Below are 24,127 nucleotides of genomic sequence, written 5' to 3'. Positions count from 1 at the left end.
AGGAAAAAGTGTCCCAGTCCCCTGGCCTTTCCTCTCATCACAATCCCCTTCCTCTGACATCACAGAGGCAAGAACTGTCTTCTCTGCTCGGAGCACTGAGTCGAGGGCATCTCCAGGACAGGCATTCAGGCAGAGCAAGCTCCAGGTTTCACCACAATGCCCATCCCTGCCTCCCCACTCCACCCACCTCTGCCTTCCTTACTGCTGTATCTGCTGCTTGAACTGGCAGGTGAGTGGGGCCTCAGTGTATGTGTGTGGTGGGTTCTCCCCTCTGCCTGTTTAGTGAACTCTCCCTCACCTGTTCCCATAGAATTTCTTTTGGGAGGGTTTTCTCCATCTTATCCCAGAACAGGCAGAACTCAGAAGACTACACTGGGATGGTCCCCAATTCTGACAAAGTCTCCCGGTGGCCATGTCTGTTGCAAATCTCTTTGCTCAGGTAAACGACTCACACCTATGGTCACAGGGCGGGGCACAGCATCCATCACAGCTCTCACCCTCCAGCCTCTGGAGGGTGTAATTTATTTTATTTTATTTTTACCTTTACTTATTTTTTTGAGACAGGGTCTCACTCTGTCACCTAGGCTGGAGTGCAGTGGTGCGATCTTGGCTCACTACAACTTCCACCTCCTGGGCTCAAGTGATTCTCGTGCCTCCAACTCCCAAGTAGCTGGGACTACAAGCACGCGCCACCATGCCCAGCTAATTTTTGTCTTTTTTGTAGAGATGGGGTTTCACCATGTTGCCCAGGCTGGTCTCAAACTTATGAGCTCAAGAGTTCCACCTGCCTCGGCCTCCCAAAGTGCTCGCATTATAGGCGTGAGCCACCACACCTGGCCCCTGGCAGATTTTACACTTCTTTCTGTGAAATTCAGTTTTTTATTTCTCTGTTGCCACTGCATTTGGCTGCTCTTAAAAAGTACTGCAAACTGGGTGGTTTAAATTACAGAAATTAATTTTCTCACAGGTCTGGAGACTAGATATTCAAAATCGAAGTGTGGGCAGGGTTGGTTCTTTCTGAGGACTGTGAGGTTGAATCTGTTCCATGTCTGTCTCTGAGCTTCTAGCAGTGGTAGCCTCAAACATTTGTTGGATGGCAGGTGGCACCACCCTCCCTGTATCCTCACATCATCTTACTCCCATGTATGTCTGTCTCTGTGTCCAAATTTCCACTTCCTATAAAAACATCCACCATATTGGATTAGCACCCACCTCAATGACCTCATTTTAACTTGATTTCCTCTGTAACTCTATTTCCAAGTAAGGTCACATTCTGAGCTACTTGTGGTTAAGACTTCAACATATATTTCGGAGGCATACAATTCAACTCATAATAGCCTCAACATGAAATTTTAATAACTTAGATATATTCTTTGTTGGTTTATGTACTGCATTTATATCTGTCTGTGCTTTATACATAGGAAGGGTAACTATAAAGCTTCCTCTTTTTATTCAATGGAGAGTTAAGGATGACTAAAAATATTTAGGTAAAAGCTAACTTAAGATACTTAAAGCTAGTAAAACTCACTTGAATTTTTAACTGTACTTATTGGGTGAGGTACACAGACTGTAAGGTGACTCCCAACTATCCCACCCTTATGTAATCTCAGTTGTGTGTGACATGCTTCTATCTGATAGAATATGGCCAAAGTGATGCACTGTCTCCCCCTTGAGTATGTTAGGTTGTGTAAGATCTATCACACTAGAGTTTTTTTGCAACTTCTGGCCTTAAAGAAGCAAGGAGCCATGTTGCAAACTGCCTGTGAGAAGGCCCACATGGCAATGAACTGAGGGAAGCCCCTAGAAGTTGAGGGCCTCAGTCCTACAACCACAAAGACCTGAATTCTGCCAACAACCTGAGTGAACTTAGAATGAACACTTCCCCAGTCAAACCCCCAGATGAGAACACAGCCCAGCTGGCACCTTGAGTGGAGCTTGGTGAGACCTTGAAGCAGAGAACCCAGCTAAGCTATATCTGAATTACAAATGGACAAAAATTGTGAAATAATTAATATGTGTTGTATTCAGCCTCTAAGTTTGTCGTAATTTGTTATTCAGCGATAGAAAAGGAATATACCGAGTAAGATGGCAAAACCATTCAAAATAAAGTCCTCCATTGTTTTGTAGAACTTATTTGTTTTTAAAGGTGTACAACTTGATGGTTTTTTAAATTTTATCTTGGTTTTAATTGACAAATAATAATTGTATATATTTATGTGGTATAATGTGATGTTCTTATACATGTCTACACAGTGAAATGATCAAATCAGGCTAATTAACATATCCATCACCTCACATACTTATCACTTCTTTGTGGTAAGAACATTTAAAATCTACTCTTTTAGCTAGTTTGAAGTATGCATTAACTATAGTCACCATGCTGTGCAATAGATCACCAGAACCTATTCCTCATGTCTAACTACAACTTTATAGGCTTTGACCAGCATCTCCCATTTCCTTGTCCAACTCTCCACCACCCCAGACCCTGGTAACAACATTCTATTCTTTACTTCTTTGAGTTTGACTTTTTTGGATTCCACATATAAGCGACATTCCACATATAAGCAAGATCATGTGGTATTTGTCTTTCTGTGCCTGGCTTATTTCACACCATAATATCCATGGTGTCATAAGTGACAGAATTTTCTGATTTTCAAAAGCTAAATAGTATTCTACTGCATGTTTGTGTGTGTGTATGTGTGTGTATAATCACATTTTTATTCCTTTATACATTGATGGGCACTTCAGTTGTTTCTATATTTTGGCTATTGTGAATAACTGCAATTTTGTAGAACTTATCTTGTAGACATTTTGTGTATCTGCCATGAACTCAATGTCAGTGTGGCTTGTGTGCTACCCAAGAATACACAAGAGCAATTAAGTACTAAGGAATAAGATTTTGTTTGGTAGAATTGATCATTGACAAACCAACCATTGTAATATCTAAGATAATCCTACACTCCAAAAACCAGTTGTGACCTTTTATGGAAAATAGCAACTTCATTGAGAATGCATGCCTCAGTGTTTACTCTGGGAGAGGTGAATGAGTGGCCTTTCACACCACAGAACACCCGGTATGGGAGGGAGCTGCCTCCATATGCAGGTCACTCCATATGCAGTATGTTGGTTATCAACATACTGTCCTTAGCTTGGGGCAGTATCCCTGATTTTGAGACAATTAGAAAAATCTGACCCAAATTCTATTTTGCATTTTCTCATTTAATAAAAATATACTCATATATTTATTTAAAATATGTTTATTTAGTGCCTAATATATTGCAGGCCATCCTCATATCCCGATGCAGAAGGAAAGTGTCATTCTCCTATTTGTACACTGGTACCTCCCCTTCACCTCACATGGCACCCAGCATTGTAATTTTTATATGACTGGTGCCATCACATGATGCTGAAATAAAGCTATCATACTGAGATCCCACCTTGACCTATAACCAGACCCTCAGAGCATCTTGAGCCAAGACAGAGAACATAAGAGATGATTCCATGTTTATTTCCAGGAACTCCAGAAGAAGAGTTCCAGGTGAAATAGCCTCAGACTTTAGTGTCAGTCAATCCCGGAGATGTCCTAACCCTGGCCTGCAATATGTCTGCTCTGTCCCCAGAAGGGCCTGTCTTGTGGTTCAAGAGCATTGGGCCAGGACAACAATTAATCTTTAGTTGCAATGGAAGCCACTTCCCCAGAGTAACTCCAGTGGAAAACACAATGGTTGATCAAACTGACTATTCCATTCGCATCAGTGACGTGTTGCCAGAGGATGCTGGCACCTACTACTGTGTGAAGTTAAGGGTAGGACACCCTGACATGGAGTTTTTCTCTGGTCCAGGCACCACCGTGTATGTGAATGGTGAGCACAGCCTGATGCACTTTATTCCCTGGGTTTATGAAGATGAATCTTTAAAACCCTTCACCATGTACCAAATCATCACTACATACTGAACACCATGCTCCTTTATCCACGAACTACCCTGTAGACTAGGTTTCTTCTAATAGCCTTTCTAGTAAGCCATTCTGGACAACCTGTGCCAAATACTGAATCAAGCTATGTTGACAAGCCACATCCTTCTCTGATGCCAACCCCACCAGAACCCAATGACATAGGAGACATTTACAAATAAAAAGATACTGGATATGCAAGGTGCAACTACATGTGTGCACTGCATGGCCTAAATGGTAAGAAAACTGGGTCCTAGAAGGCTGACTGACTTCTAAGGTTTTACGAAGAAACCTGGGCCCAGGTATATGCATTGTGTATATTATGACTTATTCCATGACCCTGAACTTCCAGTCACAGATGCTAGTAGCCACATCTTAGCTTCTGATGGAATCTCAACATAGGTGAAGTTTTCCCCAAAATGCCCAGTATCTCCTGGGCCAAAACAAAGGGCTCTTCAGGCAGGTAGAATCTCTACATGCCTCCATGATCCCAGTCACCTTCCCATTACCAACTGGAATGTGATGGGGACCTGATAGCAAGTACCTGAGTGGTCACCACAGTCCAGTCTGAGATCACACTCCCATTCCCCATACAAGTCAATGAGTGGATGTGATCTCCTACCATGGCCTGGCACTGTTGTTAGGGAATTCTTAGACCAGAATGAGGGGTCTTGTGTATCAATCTCTCCAAAGTCTTTTTTGCAAAAAGCCTTCCCATAGGGGTTGAGTCATTCCCTGACACTTGAACTTTCCCAGGTCTGTCCTGAGACTTCCATGCCCAGCCCCACTGTTCTTTAATTCCCAGTATTTTTATTCCCAGGATAACCAGTATTTCCTTCTCCTCACCACCCTCTGAATTAACGTCATGAAATACAGTGGTATTAGGTGTCCCTCAGTTCTACCAGGAGAACTGACCTTCCCAGTAATGTTTCCCTTGAATCCAGACACATTCCATAATGCCAAAATGGCAATGGAAAATCCACAGGTTTCCCTTAAGTTACATAATGTCAATGCAGGCTGCCTTCCTACCATTACCTCCTGGCCCTGCCAGCCAGGAGTTCCCTTTCTCTCTAACCTGCTCCTTAGGCAGTCTGTGGTTTTGACAACCAAGCTTAATAGGAGAGATTATTACCAGGACCTGACACATTGTAGGGTAGTGATGATGACTGTGTAGGAGGGTAAAGGGTGGCTGGTGAGAACCTCCAAAATTGTAGAGGGCCCTTGAGGTTCTAATCTCTTTTTGTTGAGGAGAGGAAACCCTCTCCCTTCTCTCTCTTGAAGAGATAAGTAGTGGAACCATATGCTGTTGCCAAGACCACCTCATTCTTTAATTGTTTTAACTTCTTCTGTGCATCTCTCAGCATGAATTTCTGTACAAATTCAGAGGCTAATCACCCTTCAGAGGAGAGAGGAAGGCCAACCCCAAACTCAGTGGAGATGTAGGGTTGAAGGACAGGACTTGAACCCAGTTCCAAATGTACCGAGTGACTCTAGGCAATTAGATGGATAGGGAAACTAGTCTTTCTCCAAGAACATTACCCATTGATAATTGCCCCTTCTCTCTCCCTGTCCTCCTCTTACCACGGTTGAGGGCTGAGGAATGGAACTGAGGAGGAATACATCTGGTCTTCTGGACTAACTCCCTTCCTTCAGCACTCTAGGGAGAAGCTGCCTCCATGTGCAAAGGCCTCTCTTTACTCAATGCATGGGCATTTGCGCATGTCATTAAAAGAATTAATGAATGAGGCCCAACCGTGACCCGTACCCATGCTTAAGCCAGAACAGGGGAAATGAGAAATGATTTTCAGCTTTTTTCCAGGAGTCACACATGTGTTCCATGTGCAACAAACGGAGATGTCACAGACTGTATCAACTGGGGAGTCAATCATCTTGAGTTGCAGCGTACCCAATACCTTACCAAATGGACCTGTCTTGTGGTTCAAGGGAACAGGGCCAAACCGGAAATTAATCTACAATTTCAAACAAGGTAACTTTCCCAGAGTAAAAGAGATTGGAGACACCACCAAGCCTGGCAACACAGACTTTTCCACCCGCATCCGTGAAATCTCTCTTGCTGATGCTGGCACCTATTACTGCGTGAAGTTCATAAAAGGAAGAGCTATCAAGGAGTACCAATCAGGTCGGGGCACTCAGGTGTTTGTTACTGGTGAGTATGTCTCCTATACCCCATACCCCCTGGTGTATAATATCATCTCAGCAGTTATGTCTTCTATTCATTCAATAATTGCTATGTGCCAAATATTATTGAAGGTACAACATACATTTGATCTTTTTAATTCTCTCAGCAAGCTGTGAGTTAGGTATTTTACAGGAAGAAAAAAAGACTTGAAAAGGTTGAGTGATGAGTGATAAGAGCTATTTTGGTTGATTTCTCAATATTTAATCCACCCCCATGACTAACCTAAGCCAACTAGGATAATTCCATGTTCCCTGCTAGAGGTTTACTCAAATATGGGCTGAACTTGGCCAGTTTGGGTCTATCAGAGAAAAAGACAGGCTTGCAGAAAAATCTGGTAATCTAAAGTAATTCTTCCCTTTGTTGGCTGGAAACAAGCAACTGTGTTGCTCCAGGTGCTTTAAGCAGGCATCTTATGACCATGAGGGGAATAAGGTTGAGAAAAAGTCTAGATGAATGCAGATATGTAACAAGTGTGGATTGACAATCTGCACAACCATACTGCTCCTTGTTCCAATCTCACCTCTGGACCTCTAATAATGTGAAAGAAAACATCTCCTTGCTAAGCCAATTTGCTTAAATCAACAATGTCCTAAGGGCTACAAGAATGATAAAAGTCGCACATCCCACAGTGTGTTGTAGTGTGTTGAACTGCAAGTACAAATCTATGTTTCCCTGCATCCAAAGCCTTTTTCTTAGTGTTTTGCTACTTGTGGTGCCCTGTGAAATTTGGGCAATATCCAGCCTGAGAAATTATTAAATTGGTAATACAATAATGCTAACATTTATTGGGCATCTACTATATTCCAAACATTTCATCTATATTATCTACACAGCAACATTTGAATTGCTGGATGCTTGTACTCACTGTACAGATGAGGAACCTAACTCAGGGAGATTTCAGGAGTGTACATAGTAGGGAATAAAGAGGTGGGGTTGGTCTGGGCCCAGTCCAGTATGTTCTATATTAGTGAAGAACATTTACTTACAAGAAAGAAGATCAAATGCATTAATTTCAACCAAAAATATGAGTTGATTGATTCTGTACCTGCAGAGGATTCTGGGTTCCTCACAGTATTCAAGGCAGAACTTTTGGAACCAGGGACTAAAGGATTGGATTTAGGGCTTAATGTTACCAAGACTGTGGCTCTCTGAAATTCTCTCATCTCTTCATGGCTTTAATCTTTCCTGCTGCATATAAACCTTCAGTATATGATAGCGAAAATAAATGCAGAAAATGTTGATATTCATTCCCCCATCTTACAACCAAGGTGGAAAGACAGCTTCTTCCTACCAACCTTCACAAATGAGTTCTAGGGAACTATCCACATTAGCCTTTTGTATGCCATGTTGTCAACATTTTATTCGTTGTTGCTAGGGAGAGGAGGTCCATGGGAGATAACCAATCAACCCAATGGAACAAATGCTAAGCAGGTTGAAAACAAAATATGTTCATCCACCACATGGTCCACACCCTACCTTATCAGATGAGGAAGTTGAGCCTCTGAAAGGTTAATGGGCTTGTCTTCCAGGTTATGGGTACTGGAACCCAGGTAGACTCTTCTCGGAACCCTTTGGGTTTATGGCTTTGCCTCCTTCTTAGTAAGAAGTCTCTAGTTAGAGTGGAGATATAGGAGTGCATGACAGCTGTTTAGAGGGAGAATACTGTGAATGAGTTCAATATCTTTATTAACATTCAAATGTTCTGAGTCAGAAATGTACCAAATTTATGCCATTTCTTAATAAATAAAAATGTATACATATGTTTTTAAAATACTTAGCTATGTATTCGTTTCTTGTAGTTGGTGTAACTAATGGATACAAATTTGATGGCTTAAAACAACAGAAATAGACCACTATGGGTGGCATAACAGCACAAGGAGTTCCAAGGGCCCACTCCATGGAAACTGGTGAAAATTATTTTTAAAAAATATTTAGAGGCTCTGGAAATAGTATTAAGGGCATATCATAAATGAAGAAATAATTTTTAAACTACTAAAACTGGGGAAGAAAAGTAAAAGTCTGATATTTGAACCAAAACCCACCTTTTCCCTGTCAAAGGCTATACCCCATGGCAAAGAAGAGGAATCAACTGCACCAAAATAATCCATCCAGTCACTCAACAACTGTACAAGCAGATGACAATAACAAGCCTCGGTGGTTGTGAGGAAGACCAATATCCAGAGTTTCTACAATGTATTATCTAAGATGTCCAGTTTCAAAAAAAGTGAGACATGCAATAGAACAGAAAACTATGACAAGTATACCAAAAACAAACCAAAAAAAAAAAGGTATCAGAAACTGCTTGTTATGGCCATCAGATGTCAAACTTAACAGGCAAAGCATTTGGTGTAACCATTACAAATATGTTCAAAGAAACATGATTAAACAAACCATGATTAAATAAGTACAAGAAAGTAACATGATAATGTTGCATCAAATAGAAGATATCAATAAACAGAAATTATTAAAAAGAACCAAATGGAAATTTTATTATTCAAAAGTACAACAATTGAAAGAAAAATTACCCTAGAGGGGATTAACAGTAGATTTGAAGAAGCAGATTTAGCAAATTTGAAAATAGATTAATATAAATTATGGAATCTGAAGAACAGAGAAAAATTAAATGAAAATAACATTTAAAAAATGAACAGAGCCTCAGAGAAATGTAAGCCATCATTAAGCACACCGCATACATGTAATAGGGATAGCAGAAGGAGAGGAGAAAGAGAAAACAGCAGAAAAAAATATTCAAAGAAAGAATAGCTGAAAACTTCTCAAGTCTATTTAGTCAGCTGGACCGGAGACTGAAAAAGGAAACTCAAATTACTAGAATCAGAAATGAAGGAAGGAACATTACTAGCAACTTTATAGAAATAAAAAGGAATATTAAAGAATACTATGAAAAAATGTGTGCCTATAAACTAGGTTTATATGATGAAAAAGACAAACTCCTAGAAGACATAAAAATTACCAAAACTGGCCCAAAAATAATGGAGCATTTCAAGATACCTATAACAACTAAACAGATTAAATTAGTAATAAAAAATTACCCTGATATCGACACCAGACAAAGACATCACAAGAAAAAAACACAGATCAAATATATCTTACGTATATGGACACAAAAATCCCTTAAGAAAATACTAGCAAACTGAAACCAGCAACATATAGAAAGCATTATTCATGTTGACCAAGTGGGATTTATCCCATGAATACAAGGTTGGTTTAATATCTGAATGTCAATTAATTTAATACAACACAATATCAATAAAATAAAAAAGAAAACCACATAATCCTCTCAAGATGATAAAAAAAAAGGAATTTGGTAAAATCTAAAATTCTTTTATTTAAAAAGGTACTCAAAAAACTAGGAATAGTAGGGAACTTTATCAACCTGATAAAGAGCATGGATGCAAAACCCATAGCTAACATCATATTTAGCAAAACCGAAAGCCACAGCCAATGTCACAATTAATGAGGATGGTTAGATGCTGTCCCCAGTAGATCAAGAATAACACAAGGATATCTCCTATCACCATTTCTACTCAACGTTGTACTAAAATTTTTAGTCAGGACAATTAAGTAATAAAAACAATCCAAATTGGAAAGAATGAAGTAAAACTATCTCTATTGACAAATGGCATGTTCTTGTACATAGAAAATCCTAAGGAACCCACTAAAAAACTATTCAAACTACTGAGCAAGTTCAGCAAGCTTGAGAGTACAGTTCAATATACAAAAATCTATTACATTTCCACACACTTGGAATGAACACTAAAAATAAAAATAAATTTAACAAAAGAAGTGCAAATTTATACTCTGAAAACTACAAAAAAATGTTAAATGAAAGAAGATCTAAACAAATTGAAAATTTTCCCATTTTCATGGACCAGAAGATTTAACATTCTTAAGATGGCACTATTCCCCCAAACTGGTCTACAGATCCAACACAATCCTTATCAGAATCCCAACCTACTTTTTTGTAGAAATTGACAAGCTGATCTTAACATTCATGTGGAAATATGAAGGATCCAGAATAGCCAAAACAATCCTGAAAAATAAAGTAGGAGAACACACGTTTTTCTTTCAAAACTTACTACAGGCTGGACGCAATGGCTCACGCCTGTAATCCCAGCACTTTGGGAGGCTGAGATGGGAGGATCGCTTGAGGACAGGAGTTTGAGGCCAGCCTGGTGAACACAGTGAAATCTCATCTCTAAAAATAAATAAATAAAATAAAAATAAAAGTTCACTACAAGTCCACATCAATCAAGATAATGTGGTACTGGAACAGGATAGACCTATAGACCAATGGAAAAGAGAGAGTCCAGAAACAAGCCCATGTATCTGTGGTCAACTGATTTTCAACAAGTGTGATAATGAGGAAAGAAGCATCTTTTCAACAAATAATGCTGAAACAACTGGATAGCCACACACAGAAAACAATGAAGTTGAACCCTACTTCACACCATATACAAAAATTAACTCAAAATGGTTTGAAAGCCTAAAAATACCTATAAAGCTTTTATAATAAAACATAGGGATAAATCTTAATGACATCAGATTTTGCATTGGCTTCTTAAGCATAGTATCAAAAGCATGAGAAACAAAAGAAAAAATAGATATATTGGACTTCATAAAAATTAAAACCTTTTATGCTTCAAAGGACATTATCAAGAAAGTAAAAAGATAACCCACAGAATGGGAAAAATATTTGCAAATTACATATCTGATAAGGGCCTTGAGTTTAGAATATATAAAGAATTTCTCCAAAGCAGATATTCAAATTGCCAATAAGCACATCAAAAGGAGCTCAGCATAATTTATCCTCAGGGAAATGCAAATCAAAACTATAATGAAATACAACTTTGCACTCATAAGGATAGCTAAAATCAAAAATCAGATAACAAATGTTTATGAGAATGTAGAGGAATTGTAAACCTCATACACTGCAGGTGGAAATGCAAAATGGTGAAGCCACTTTGGAAAATAGATAGGCAGCTCCTCAAACAGTCAAACATAAGTTACTATATGACCCAGCTATTCCACTCCTAGGTATTTACTCAAGAGAAATGAAAACATATGTTCACACAAAAATTTGTGCACAAATGTTTATAACAGCATTCACACTATCTGAAAGGTAGAAACAATCCAAACATCTATCAACTGATGAATGGAAAAGCAAGGTATGATCTATACATACAGTGGAATATTATTAGGCTATGAAGAGGAATGACATACTAAGACATGCAGCAACATGGATAAACCTTGAAAGCATATGCTAAGTTAAAGAATAAAATCACAAAAGGTCACTTATTCTCTCTAGATTCTTCCTCTCTGTGCAGGACATCTCTGAAAGAAAGACAGCAGCCCCAGTCAGGGGCTTATAGATAAAACTCCCATCTCCCTGGGACAGAGCACCGGGGGGAAGGGGCAGCTGTGGGCACAGCTTCAGCAGACTTAAACATTCCTGCCTGCCGGCTCTGAAGAGAGCAGTGGATCTCCCAGCACAGCGCTTGAGCTCTGCTAAGGGACAGACTGCCTCCTCAAGTGGGTCGCTGACCCCCGTGCCTCCTGATGGGGAGACACCTCCCAGCAGGGGTCGACAGACACCTCATACAGGAGAGCTCTGGCTGGCATCTGGCAGGTGCCCCTCTGGGATGAAGCTTCCAGAGGAAGGAGCAGGCAGCAATCTTTGCTGTTCTGCAGTCTCCACTGGTGATACCCACGAAAACAGGATCTGGAGTGGACCTCCAGCAAACTCCAGCAGACCTGCAGAAGAGTGGCCTGACTGTCAAAAGGAAAACTAACAAACAGAAAGCAACAGGATCAACATCAACAAAAAGGATGAGCATGCAAAAATCCCATCAGAAGGTCACCAACATCCAAGATCAAGGTAGATAAATCCATGAAAATGAGGAAAAAACAGCGCAAAAAAGCTGAAAACTCCAAAAACCAGAATGTCTCTTCTCCTCCAAAGAATGACATCTCCTCGCCAGCAAGGCAACAAAACTGGATGGAGAATGAGTTTGACGAATTGACAGAAGTAGGCTTCAGATGGCGGGTAATAACAAACTCCTCCATGCTAAAAGAGCATGTTCTAACCCAATGCAAGAAAGCTAAGAAACTTGATAAAAGGTTGCAGGAACTGCTAACTAGAATAACCAGTTTAGAGAAGAACATAAATGACCTGATGGAGCTGAAAAACACAACACGAGAACTTCATGAAGCATACAGAAGTATCAAGAGCTGAATCAATCAACCAGAAGAAAGGATTTCAGAGATTGAAGATCAACTTAATGAAATAAAGTATGAAGACAAGATTAGAGAAAAAAGAGTGAAAAAGAATGAACAAACCCTCCAAGAAATATGGGACTATGTTGAAAAGACCAAACCTACGTTTGATTGGTGTACCTAAAGTGATGGGGAGAATGGAACCAAGTTGGAAAACACACTTCAGGATATTATCCAGGAGAACTTCCCCAACTTAGAAAGACAGGCCAATATTCAAATTCAGGAAATACAGAGAGCACCACAAAGATACTCCTCGAGAAGAGCAACCCCAAGACACACAATCGCCAGATTCACCAAGGTTGAAATGAAGTGAAAAATGTTAAGGCAGCCAGAGAGAAAGATTGGGTTACCCACAAAGAGAAGCCCATCAGACTAACAGCAGATCTCTCTTCAGAAACCGTACAAGCCAGAAGAGAGTGAGGACCAACATTCAACATTCTTAAAGAAAAGAATTTTCAACCCAGAATTTCATATCCAGCCAAAAAAAGCTTCATAAATGAAGATAAATAAAATCCTTTACAGACAAGCAAATGCAGATATTTTGTCACCACCAGGCCTGCCTTACAAGAGCTCCTGAAGGAAGTACTAAATATGGAAAGGAAAAACTGGTACCAGACACAGCAAAAACACGCCAAAATGTAAAAACTATTGACACTATGAAGAAACTGCATCAACTAATGGGCAACATAACCAGCTAGCATCATAATGACAGGATCGAATTCACACATAACAATATTAACCTTAAATGTAAATGGGCTAAATGCCCCAATTAAAAGACACAGACTGGCAAATTGGATAAAGAGTCAAGACCCATCGGTGTGTTGTATTCAGGAGACCCATCTCACATGAAAAGATACACATAGGCTCAAAATAAAGGGATGGAGGAAGATCTACCAAGCAAATGGAAAGCAAAAAAAAAAAAAAAGCAGTTGTTGCAATCCTAGTCTCTGATAAAACAGACTTTAAACCAACAAAGATCAAAAAAGACAAAGAAGGGCATTGCATAATGGTAAAGGCATCAATAAAACAAAAAGAGCTAACTATCCTAAATATATATGCCCTCAATACAAGAGCACCCAGATTCATAAAGCAAGTTCTTAGAGACCTACAAAGACATTTAGACACCCACACAATAATAGTGGGAGACTTTAATATCCCACTGTCAATATTTGATACATCAATGAGACAGAAAATTAACAAGGATATTCAGGACTTGAACTCAGCTCTGGACCAAGCAGACCTAATAGACATCTACAGAACTCTCCACCCCAAATCAACAGAATATACATTCTTCTCAGCACCATATCTCACTTATTCTCAAACTGACCACATAATTGGAAGTAAAACACTCCTCAGCAAATGCAAAAGAATGGAAATCATAACAGTCTCTCAGATCACAGTGCAATCAAATTAGAACTCAGGATTAAGAAACTCACTCAAAACTGCACATCTACATGGAAACTGAACAACCTGCTCCTGAATGACTACTGGGTAAATAATGAAATTAAGGCAGAAATAAATAAGTTTTTGAAACCAATGAGAACAAAGACACAATTTACAGAATCTCTGGGACACATTTAAAGCAGTGTTTAGAGGGAAATTTATAGCACTAATGCCCACAGGAGACAGCAGGAAAGATCTAAAATAGACACCCTAAAATCACAAAAGAACTAGAGAAGCTAGAGCAAACAAATTCAAAAGATAGCAGAAGACAAGAAGTAACTAAGATCAGAGCAGAACTGAAGGAAATAGAGACACAAAACACCCTTCAAAAAATCAGTGAATCAAGGAGCTGTTTTTTTTAAAACATTAACAAAACAGATAGAGTAGATTAATAAAGAAGAAAAGAGAGAAGAATCAAATAGACACAATAAAAAATGAAGAAGGGAATACCCTGATCCCACAGAAATACAAACTACCATCAGCGAATACTATAAACACCTCCATGCGAATAAACTAGAAAATCTAGAAGAAATGGATAAATTCTTGGACACATACACCCTCCCAAGTCTAGTCCAGGAAGAAGTTGAATCCCTGAATAGACCAATAACAAGTTCCGAAATTGAGGCAGTAATTAATAGCCTGCCAACCCAAAAAAGCCAAGGACCAGATGGATTCACAGCCGAATTCTACCAGAGGTACAAGAGGAGCTGATACCATTCCTTCTAAAACTATTCCAAACAATAGAAAAAGAGGGACTCCTCCCTAACTCATTTTATGAGGCCAGCATCATCCTGATACCAAAACCTGGCAGAGACACAACAAAAAAAGAAAATTTCAGTTCAATATCCCTGATGAACACATCGATGCAAAAATCCTCAATAAAATACTGGCTAACCGAATGCAGCAGCACATTAAAAATCTTATCCACCATGATCAAGTCAGCTTCATCCCTGGGATGCAAGGCTGGTTCAACATATGGAAATCAATAAACGTAATCCATCACATAAACAGAACCAATGACAAAAACCACAATTATCTCAATAGATGCAGAAAAGGCCTTCAATAAAATTCAACACCCTTCATGCTAAAAACACTCAATAAACTAGGTATTGATGAAATGTAGCTCAAAATAGTAAGAGCTATTTATGACACAGCCAGTATCATACTGAATGGACAAAAGCTGGAAGCATTCTCTTTGAAAACCAGAGCAAGACAAGAATGCCCTCTCTCACCACTTCTATTCAACATAGTATGGGAAGTACAGGCTGGGGCAATCAGGCAAGAGAAAGAAATAAAGGGTATTCAAATAGGAAGAGAGGAAGTCAAATTGTTTCTGTTTACAGATGACATGATTGTATATTTAGAAAACCTCATCATCTCAGCCCCAAAACTCCTTAAGCTAATAAGCAAATTCGACAAAGTCTCAGGATACAAAATCAATATGCAAAAATCACAAGCATTCCTATACATCAATAATCGACAATCAGAAAGCCAAATCATGAGTGAACTCCCATTCACAATTGCTACTAAGAGAATAAAATACCTAGGAATACAACTTACAAGGGATGTGAAGGACCTCTTTGAGGAGAACTACGAACCACTGCTCAAGGAAATAAGAGAGAGGACACAAACAAAAAACATTCCACTCTCATGGATAGGAATAATCAATATCGTGAAAATGGCCACACTGCCCAAAGTAATTTATAGAATCAATGCTATTCCCATCGAGCTACCATTGACTTTTTTCACAGAATTAGAAAAAAATGACTTTAAATTTCATATGGAACCAAAAAACAGCTCGTATAGCCAAGACAATCCTAAGCAAAAAAGAGCAAAGCTAGAGGCATCATGCTACCTGACTTCAAACTGTACTACAGTGCTACAGTAACCAAAACAGCATGGTACTGATATGAAAACAGATATATAGACCAATGGAACAGAACTGAGGCCTCAGAAATAACACCACACATCTACAACCATCTGATCTTTGAGAAACCTGACAAAAATAAGCAATGGGGAAAGGATTCCCTATTTAATAAATGGTGTTGGGAAAACTGGCTAGCCATATGCAGAAAACTAAAACTGGACCCCTTCCTTACCCCTTATACAAAAATTAACTCAATATGAATTAAAGATGTAAATGTAAGACCTAAAACCATAACAACCCTAGAAGAAAACCTAGACAATACCATTCAGGACATAGGCATGGGCAAAGACTTTATGACTAAAACACCAAAAGCAATTGCAACAAATGCCAAAATTGACAAATGGGATCTAAGTAAACTAAAGAGCTTCTGCACAGCAAAAGAAACTATTATCAGAGTGAACAGGCAAGCTACAGAATGGGAGAAAATTTTTGCAATCTATCCATCTGGCAAAGGGCTAACATCCAGAATCTACAAGGAACATGAACAAATGTACAAGAAAAAAACAAGCAACCCCATCAAAAAGTGGGCGAAGGATATGAGCAGACACTTTTCAAAAGAAGACATTTATGCAGCCAACAAACAAATGAAAAACAGCTCATCATCACTGGTCATTTGAGAAATGCAAATCAAAGCCACAGTGAGATACCATCTCAGGCCAGTTAGAATGGTGATCATTAAAAAGTCAGGAAACAACAGATACTGGAGAGGATGTGGAGAAATAGGAATGCTTTTACACTGTTGGTGGGAGTGTAAATTACTTCAACCATTGTGGAAGACAGTGCAGTGATTCCTCAAGGATCTAGAACTAGAAATACCATTTGACCCAGCAATCCCATTACTGGGTATATACCGAAAGGATTATAATCATTCTACTATAAAGACACATGCACATGTATGTTTATTGCAGCAGTATTCACAATAGCAAAGACTTGAAACCACCCCAAATGCCCATCAATGATAGGATAGATAAAGAAAATGTGGCACATATACACCATGGAATACTATGCAGCCATAAAAAAGAATGAGTTTATGTCCTTTCCAGGGACATGGATGAAGCTGAAACCATCATTCTCAGCAAACTAACACAAGAACAAAAAAATAAACACCACATATTCTCACTTATAAGTGGGAGTTGAACAACGAGGACATATGGGCACAGGGAGGAGAACATCACACACCAAGGCCTGTTGGGTGGTGGGGGACAAGAGGAGAGACAGCATTAGGAGAAATACCTAATGTAGATGTTGGGTTGATGGGTGCAGCAAATGACCATGGCACATGTATAACTGTGTAACAAACCTGCAGGTTCTGCACATGTATCCCAGAACTTAAAGTATAATTTAAAAAATCAATTTTTTAAATAATTCCATGTATATGACATACTCAGAATAGGCAAATCTATAGAGACAGAAAGTAGATTAAAGACAGAACATTTCTTATGATTTGGGGGATGGTGGAAAGATAGGGAAAATGGAGGTTATTACATGAAAGGCATGGAGTCTTTTTTGAGATGATAAAAATGTTCAAAATGACTGTGGTTATGATTGCACATATCTACAGACAAATATCTGCAAATATTGAATTGTACATTTTAAATGTGTAAATTGTATGGTGTATGAAGTACATCTCAATAAAGTTGTTTAAAAACCAAATTTAGTCTCTTACAGTTCTAGAAGCCAGAAGTCTGAAATCTGCATCTCTGGACTGAAATCAAGGCATCAGCAGAACTGCTCCTTCTGGAGGTTCTAGGAGAGAACATATTCCCTTTCTCTTTTGGCTTCTGGTTTGCTGCCAGCATCCCTGGCCTGTCAGCAGCATAGAATAAATCTTCAAGGCCAGTGTCTTTAAATCTCTCTGTGTTCCATTTTCACATTGCCTTCTCACAATTAAGCTACCAGATTCTTAACAAATCTGTATTAGTCATCTATGCTGCATAACAAATTACCCAAAACTTAGTGATTTCAAACAACAAACACTTACTGTCTCCCAGTGTCTGTGAGTCAGGATTCTAGACATAGTTTAGGTTGAGTGATCTTGGTTTAAGGTCTCTTTTAAGGCTGCAATCAAGGTGTCTGCCAATAATGCAATAATCCAAAGGCTCAACTGGAGAAGAATCCACTTCAAGCTCACTCCCATGGCTATTGGCAGGCCTCAGATCCTTGCGGGCAACTGGCTGAAGACATCAGATATCTGCTACATGGGCTTCTCCATAGGACAGCTCACAACATGGCAGCTGCTTCTCCTCAAGAAGCAGGAGAGAGGGGAAGAAGAAGATACAAGTCACAATTTCTTTATAAGCTAATTTCAGAAGTGACATCCTGTTACTTTTACTTTTTCATTAGAAGTGAATCACTAGATCCAGAGGAAGGGATTACATAGTGGGGTGAATGCCAGGAGCTGGAGATAATCTCAAAGGCTGACTACCACAGCAGTTCTCTCAGTAACTAGGAGGACATGCAGACAAAATGTCAGTAAGGATACAAAAGATTTGATCAAGGTGATTAACAAATTTGATGTAATTGAGCACTGCACCCAACAACTGAAAAACACAGCTCCTTTTCAAGCCCATGTGAGATATTAACTAAAATTAATCATAAGCTTGGTCAAGAAGCAAGTCTCAACAAATCTTGAAATATCAAAATTATATAAGTATGTTTTCTGATCATTGTGGAATTAAACTATAAATATTTACAAAAAGATCATTAGAAAATCCTCATATATTAGGAATTTGGGAAATAATCTAAATAACTGATTTATCAAAAAAGAAATTACCACAGATACTAGAAAATATTTTGGACTAAATAATAATTAAAATACTGCACATTAAACTTGAGGCATGTAGTTACTGCTGTACTTGGAATTTATAGCCTTAAATCCCTATATCAGAAAAATAAAAATGATTGAAACCCAGTAATGAAAGCATCCATTACAACAATTTACTAAAACAATGACAAAGGTTTAATTTTAGTGTGGTCAGTGGGGGTGGGGAAGATGTTGCCAAGGGTGCTGTCTAGTTACTACTGCTGCATAGCAAAACACCCCAAAACACAAGGTCAAAAAAACAACCATCTTATTATGATCAATGACACTGTGGGTAAGGAATTCAGACAGGGTACAAGAATGACTTATCTCTGCTATATGTTGCCTGGGGTCTCAGTTGGGAAACTCACCTGGGGATGACTCAACTGCTGGGTCATCTGGAAGCTTCTTCTTTTACATGTCTGATGATTGATAATGGATATTGGCTGCATCTTAGCTGGGATGTCAGTTAGAACTCTTACATGTGTCCCTGCAATGTGATCTCTTCATGCATGCTAGTTTGGGCTTCCTCATAGCATGGTGGCAAGGTTCCAAAAATTAGCATCCCAAGAAAGCCAGGTAGAAATGCAGGGAATTATTATGGTCTAGCCTCAGAAGTCACATCACATCCCTTCTGTTGCAGTCACAGACCTGCCCAAACTCAGGGGGAGGGAACATATGCCTACATCTCCATGGGAAGAGTGTCGAAGAGCATGAGTGAAGAGGGACCTTGTTGCAGTCAGCTCTAGAAAATAGAATCTGTCATCAGTGAAGACAGGGATTAGAGTTAGAACAAAGAGTGCTAAACGGAACACTCTGGCCAGTTCCTTGTCAAGAAATCCCTCTCAGAAAAAATGTTTAACAAGCTAGAATAAGGTGTCGAGGGGAGAGGGACACTCATCATGCTACAGAGCAATCAAATCTCATCGCTGATTGGCCCCTTTCATTCCACCCCTTCTCATCACCATTCTCATCACCAACATCCGGTCAGCCACTGGTAAGGAGGCAGGGGTGGGGAGCAGTGGGGAAACTGAGTCACAGGAGGCAGTGTCTGGCACTGGGTCCACAGAAGTGATGAGCTCATGGCTAGAGGCTCTGAATGTGATTTCATGTGCAGGTGGCTGCTGCTCAGAAGGAGGAGAGGAGATGTATTCTTGGTGTGAGTGTTTCTACATCTCCTCCACTCCCTTCTCCCAAGAGGTGGCCCCAGACTAGGGACAGAAAAAAGAGATACCCCTCCTCCTCCCAGCTGCGTTTCTGCATGTCACTGTTCCTGCAGTATGAGCACACTAAGGCCCTGCACCCCCCGCTTGACACACACAGGCTTCTTCCCCTTTTCTCTAAAACAGAAACTATCCTCCTCCTCCCAAGATCGAACTCCTTGCTCACTCAAAGTCACTTCCCCTGTAAGCGTACTTTGAAGAGCCAAAGCCTCCCATCAGATATGGCTTCAGGATCATTTTTACAACTGACACCTCTGGAGTGGGGAAAAACAGGGATCCACACCTGTGAAGCCCCATTCCCGGGAGCCCTCCTCCTGACTAGCTGCACAGCTCATCTGAGCCCAGGTCTTGGACTATCACAGGAGGCTGGACACACCGTTCTCTATGGCAGACCCTGTTCCTGGGCTCCTGGATGAGGAAGGGTCACCAGCACACCTGACACAAAGTGAGGGGCCCAAAGGACACAGCCTAGGCACTAAGGGTGTCTGCCAGGGCCCCTCCAAGCACCTTGGGACCCTTATATCAGTAACTTATTAGCTTGTGTCTGATTCCTATTTCACAATCTAGAAACTGGAACGGTCATAATCCTACAGCCCTTTCCTCCCATCATAGTAACTTCCTCTTATATCATGGAACACATAGTTTTGCCTCTCTCAGCAGAGCAGAATCCAAGACCTCCCAAGAACAGACCTGCAGGCAGAGCAGGCTCCAGGGCCCACCATGATGCCCATACCTGCCTCTCGGCCCTGCCTGAGAGAAACAGCACAAACTATTTCGTCCAACCCTGCTGCTGCCTCCGGCTGCTGGGACTCACAGGTGAGTGCCCCCACCCTCAGGTACCATGATGCAGGGATGCTCTCCTGAGTTTGGCGGCGGTACCATTTCGCCACCTGCAGTGGGGCGGATGAATCTCTGTTGTCCTAGGGCCTCTTTCTTTGCCACCCCTTCCTCTTTAAGACACTTCCCTAAATAGTTTGTTTTATAACTAGTGTCTCCAAAACAAATCCTTCCAGAATTCTTCTTGCTTGGAGGGGTTGCTTTCTCTCCCATCCAGGCGTTTCCCCATGACAGGGGTGCCCAGTCCCTCTCACTTCCCACACCCCTGATGTCCTGTGAAGGTTCCACGACCCCCTAGGCCTGACCTGCAGGACCTGATGCCATCCTGAGAGAAGAAGTAGAGGAGCAGCATTTGACCCCTTGGTCCCCAGGAGGGAGACAGGGATGCTGTCATTAAGATGAGTACACATGGATGCATAGGTGATTAATAGATAGATTAGATAGATAGATAGGTAGATAGATAACAACAAGTACTACACATGCAATGTAGAACTATTAGAAAAAATTGCTAAATGGTCCTTTTTAGACTAGTAAGTCTCCCAGAATCTCAGAAACCTAGGATTACGTTCTTGATGCGGGTGTTTCTCCTGCCTGTCTACTCTCTTCTCTCCAAAGATGATCTGCACAGTCAGGAGAGGCAACCATTCTTCTCCCAGTGGTGTTAACATCTCAATTTAGAGTCCAACTAATAAAGTGGTTAAAAGCACAGGCATTAAAAAAAAAAAAAAAAACGACAGGCCGGGGTTCAAATGCAAGTTTCATCATTTGTAGGCTGTTTGACTATGGATAAGTTACTCAACTTCTCTGTGCCTCTGTTTTCTTGTCTGTGAAATCGGGATAAATAATAATGCCTTTCCAATACAGTTGTGGTGAGAATCAAACTAGTTAATTAATATAGTTAAGTTTTTGGAGTAATGTGTAGCACACAGAACCACCTATGTGAGCTCTGGTTGTTACAGCCTTTTAGGGCTTAATAAGTGCAAATATGAGCCCACGAAAATAGTCCTGCTGCATCCGGCCATTGCAACTCTCACTCTGTGTCTTTGGCAAGTCTATGTCTTCACTTAGAACTCACAGAAGTCATGGGAACTGAGAAAGGTCCATCAGGCTTGGTAGAAGAAGGAACTGAAAGCCAAGCAATGGTGTGCGCTTCCTAGAATCACCAGGTTGTCAGGGCTGGAGCCTGGCCTACTGGACTTGCAGTTAAGAATGGAAAGCCCATTTCACAGAAGTCCTTCTATGAGCACAGTCCTGAGTGTTTCTCAAAGATTTTCAGGTTTCAGTATCACAACAAAATTGCAAGAGGAAGTTTTACTTTCCACATTGTATACATTACATAGATAAGAAAACAGAGCCTCAGGGAGGTTATTTTCGCAAAGTAAAACACCAATGTCAGTCCTTTTTCTGTTGCTTAGAATAGAATACATGAAACTGGATTATTTATAAAGAAAAAGAACCTATTTCTTATAGTTGTAAAGGCTGAGATGTTCAAGGTCAAGGGGCCATATTTGGTGAGAGCTTTCTTGCTGGTGGGGACTCTCTAAAGAGTCCTGAGGCAGCACAGGGTATCACATGGTGAGGGGACTGAGCATGCTAGCATACTATACTTGGGTCTCTCTCTCTCTTCTTATAAAACCAACAGTTCCCCTCCCATGATAACCCATTAATCCACTAATTTGTGAAATAACGCAGAGTCCTTATGACCCAATCACCTCTTAAAGACCCTACCTCTCAATACTGCACATTGAGGATTGAATTTCAACATGAATTTTGGAGGGGACAAATATTTAAACTATAGCAATCAAGCAATAGAGGAGGCATTGAAACCTGGGTCAATGGGACTCCACTAGCTCTTACTTTGACCTCTTCACTGTGCTGCTTCTAGATACATCGAACTTTTAACAAAAATAAGATTACACAAAATATGGTGGTTTATTTGTTCTTTTACTCAATGATAAATTGGGGACCCTTTTCTATGTAAATATATATGTGTCTGCAACATCATCAATACATCCCCAATATATACATCAACACTATCATTTCAATCTCTACATAGTTTTCCATTTTGTGGTTGTACCATCATTTATCTAACTCACTCCTATTCTTGGACATGGGCCATGCATCAAACTTTTCTATATTGTAAATACTATGATTACCATTCCTTTACAAATCATATTCACCCTTGTCTGATTGTTTCTTTTGAATAAGGCCGTCAAAGAGGAATTACTAAATCAAAGGGTATGAGTTTTATTGGGAAATTGCATTTCAAAAGTGTTTTTTGGTTTCAAAAGCCATTTCCCAATGAAACGTGAGTGTCTCAATATCAGTAATATATTATCTCACCACACCCAGCACAGAAGCAGCAGCAATGGACAGGGGGTATTTTGAACATTTGGGACCAAAACAGATTTGGTTAAAGTATCTCCACTTTACTTGTTTAAATATGGGTTTGTCACGTGGACATAGATCATAAGATCATGACTGTGATGCTGTATTGCCATCTAGAGAGATCGTGTCCATTGTTATTCCCACCAGCAGTATGTGGGAGCGCCTGCCTCACCACAACCTTAGCAACACAGAAAATTGGCAATCTTTTTCATGTTTGCTAAGCTAATATTCTAAAAATTGTGTCTGCTCTTAGCTTGCAGGAGGGAGAAATGTTTTATTTTATTTTATTTTTATTGTATTTCAGGCTTGCTGTCAAAATAATCCAAACAGGGAAGGAACGTACAAGTAAATAACAAAAGCCCCCATACTCTTCTGACTCCCTGGAGACAGCTACTTTTTAGGAGTTTCATTTGCCTTCTTCAAGAGAGCTTTCTTCCACTGACATAAAATGCCAGCTTGATCGTACAATAAATCTGTCTATTTACCTGGGTCCAATTCCAGGTTCTCTCTTCTGTTTCATCGACCTCTCTGCTTGCCTTGGTACCAACCTGCCTCTACTATTTATTGCAGCCTGAAAATGTGCTCTAACTTTCATATGCTGAAACCTGCGTACATTTTTTTTAAAAACTTTTCCAGCTAGTCTGTCATGGACGTTAGCAATTTGTGTGTGGTTTAACTATGCACTTCACTGGATTACTGGTGTTGTTGAACATCTTTTCTAGAAGTATTTCTTCTCTTTTGACTTCCTGACTGTGTCCTTAGCAAGGGCTGTCTGTCTATCTTGTCTCTATGTCTCTCTTGATACCCAGTTAAGGAATGTGCCCATCCTAAAAGCTAATACATGATATGGAAAGAAAGAATGAATGGGGCTTCAAATGCAATCTGAACCCAGGCACCTGGACCGCAGCCTCATCCCCAGCTGGAGCTTGGAGCTGACGTGTGTTCTTCCAGGAGTGGCGGGTGAGGAGGAGCTGCGGGTAATTCAGCCTGAGAAGTCCGTGTCAGTCGCAGCTGGAGAAGCGGCCACTCTACACTGCACTGTGACCTCCCTGATCCCCGTAGG

The 24,127-nt window shown here is 40.2% G+C and overlaps 1 protein-coding gene and 1 long non-coding RNA gene across 8 annotated transcripts in view; one reads left to right on the top strand and one right to left on the bottom strand.

The window, feature by feature from the left end:
* The first annotated feature begins 104 nt into the window (after positions 1-104).
* SIRPD (signal regulatory protein delta) lies at positions 105-23,559 on the top strand. Of its 7 annotated transcripts, none has more exons than NM_178460.3 (4): positions 105-229; positions 5,772-6,119; positions 20,500-20,655; positions 23,369-23,559. In NM_178460.3, the coding sequence occupies exons 1-4, from the start codon at positions 157-159 to the stop codon at positions 23,383-23,385; spliced, it is 594 nt and encodes a 197-aa protein (NP_848555.2). In that variant the 5' UTR covers positions 105-156; the 3' UTR covers positions 23,386-23,559. The 7 variants fall into 7 exon arrangements, with proteins under 7 accessions (NP_848555.2, NP_001397731.1, XP_047295839.1 ...); NM_001410802.1 differs by having other exon boundaries at positions 20,497-20,655; XM_047439883.1 differs by having other exon boundaries at positions 20,482-20,655.
* LOC105372499 (uncharacterized) overlaps positions 7,617-24,127 on the bottom strand; it is a 37,633-nt gene continuing 21,122 nt past the window's right edge. Inside the window, exons 3-4 of the long non-coding RNA XR_001754464.2 lie at positions 17,798-18,053; positions 7,617-7,762 (exon numbers count right to left, since the gene is read on the bottom strand). This is a non-coding gene — a long non-coding RNA (uncharacterized LOC105372499). The remainder of the gene's footprint in view (positions 7,763-17,797; positions 18,054-24,127) is intronic.

This window comes from Homo sapiens, chromosome 20, assembly GCF_000001405.40.
Source record: "Homo sapiens chromosome 20, GRCh38.p14 Primary Assembly".
NCBI lineage: Eukaryota > Metazoa > Chordata > Mammalia > Primates > Hominidae > Homo > Homo sapiens.
This window is presented reverse-complemented; position numbering and strand designations above follow the sequence as displayed.

Excerpts from the sequence above, each read along its gene's own strand:
- SIRPD (XM_047439883.1), top strand. The coding sequence starts at position 157 with ATGCCCATCCCTGCCTCCCCACTCCACCCACCTCTGCCTTCCTTACTG. Across the intron at positions 230-5,771 it reads TCTGCTGCTTGAACTGGCAG|GAGTCACACATGTGTTCCAT; the intron begins GTGAGTGGGGCC and ends GCTTTTTTCCAG. Across the intron at positions 6,120-20,481 it reads CACTCAGGTGTTTGTTACTG|TTTTGCCTCTCTCAGCAGAG; the intron begins GTGAGTATGTCT and ends TGGAACACATAG.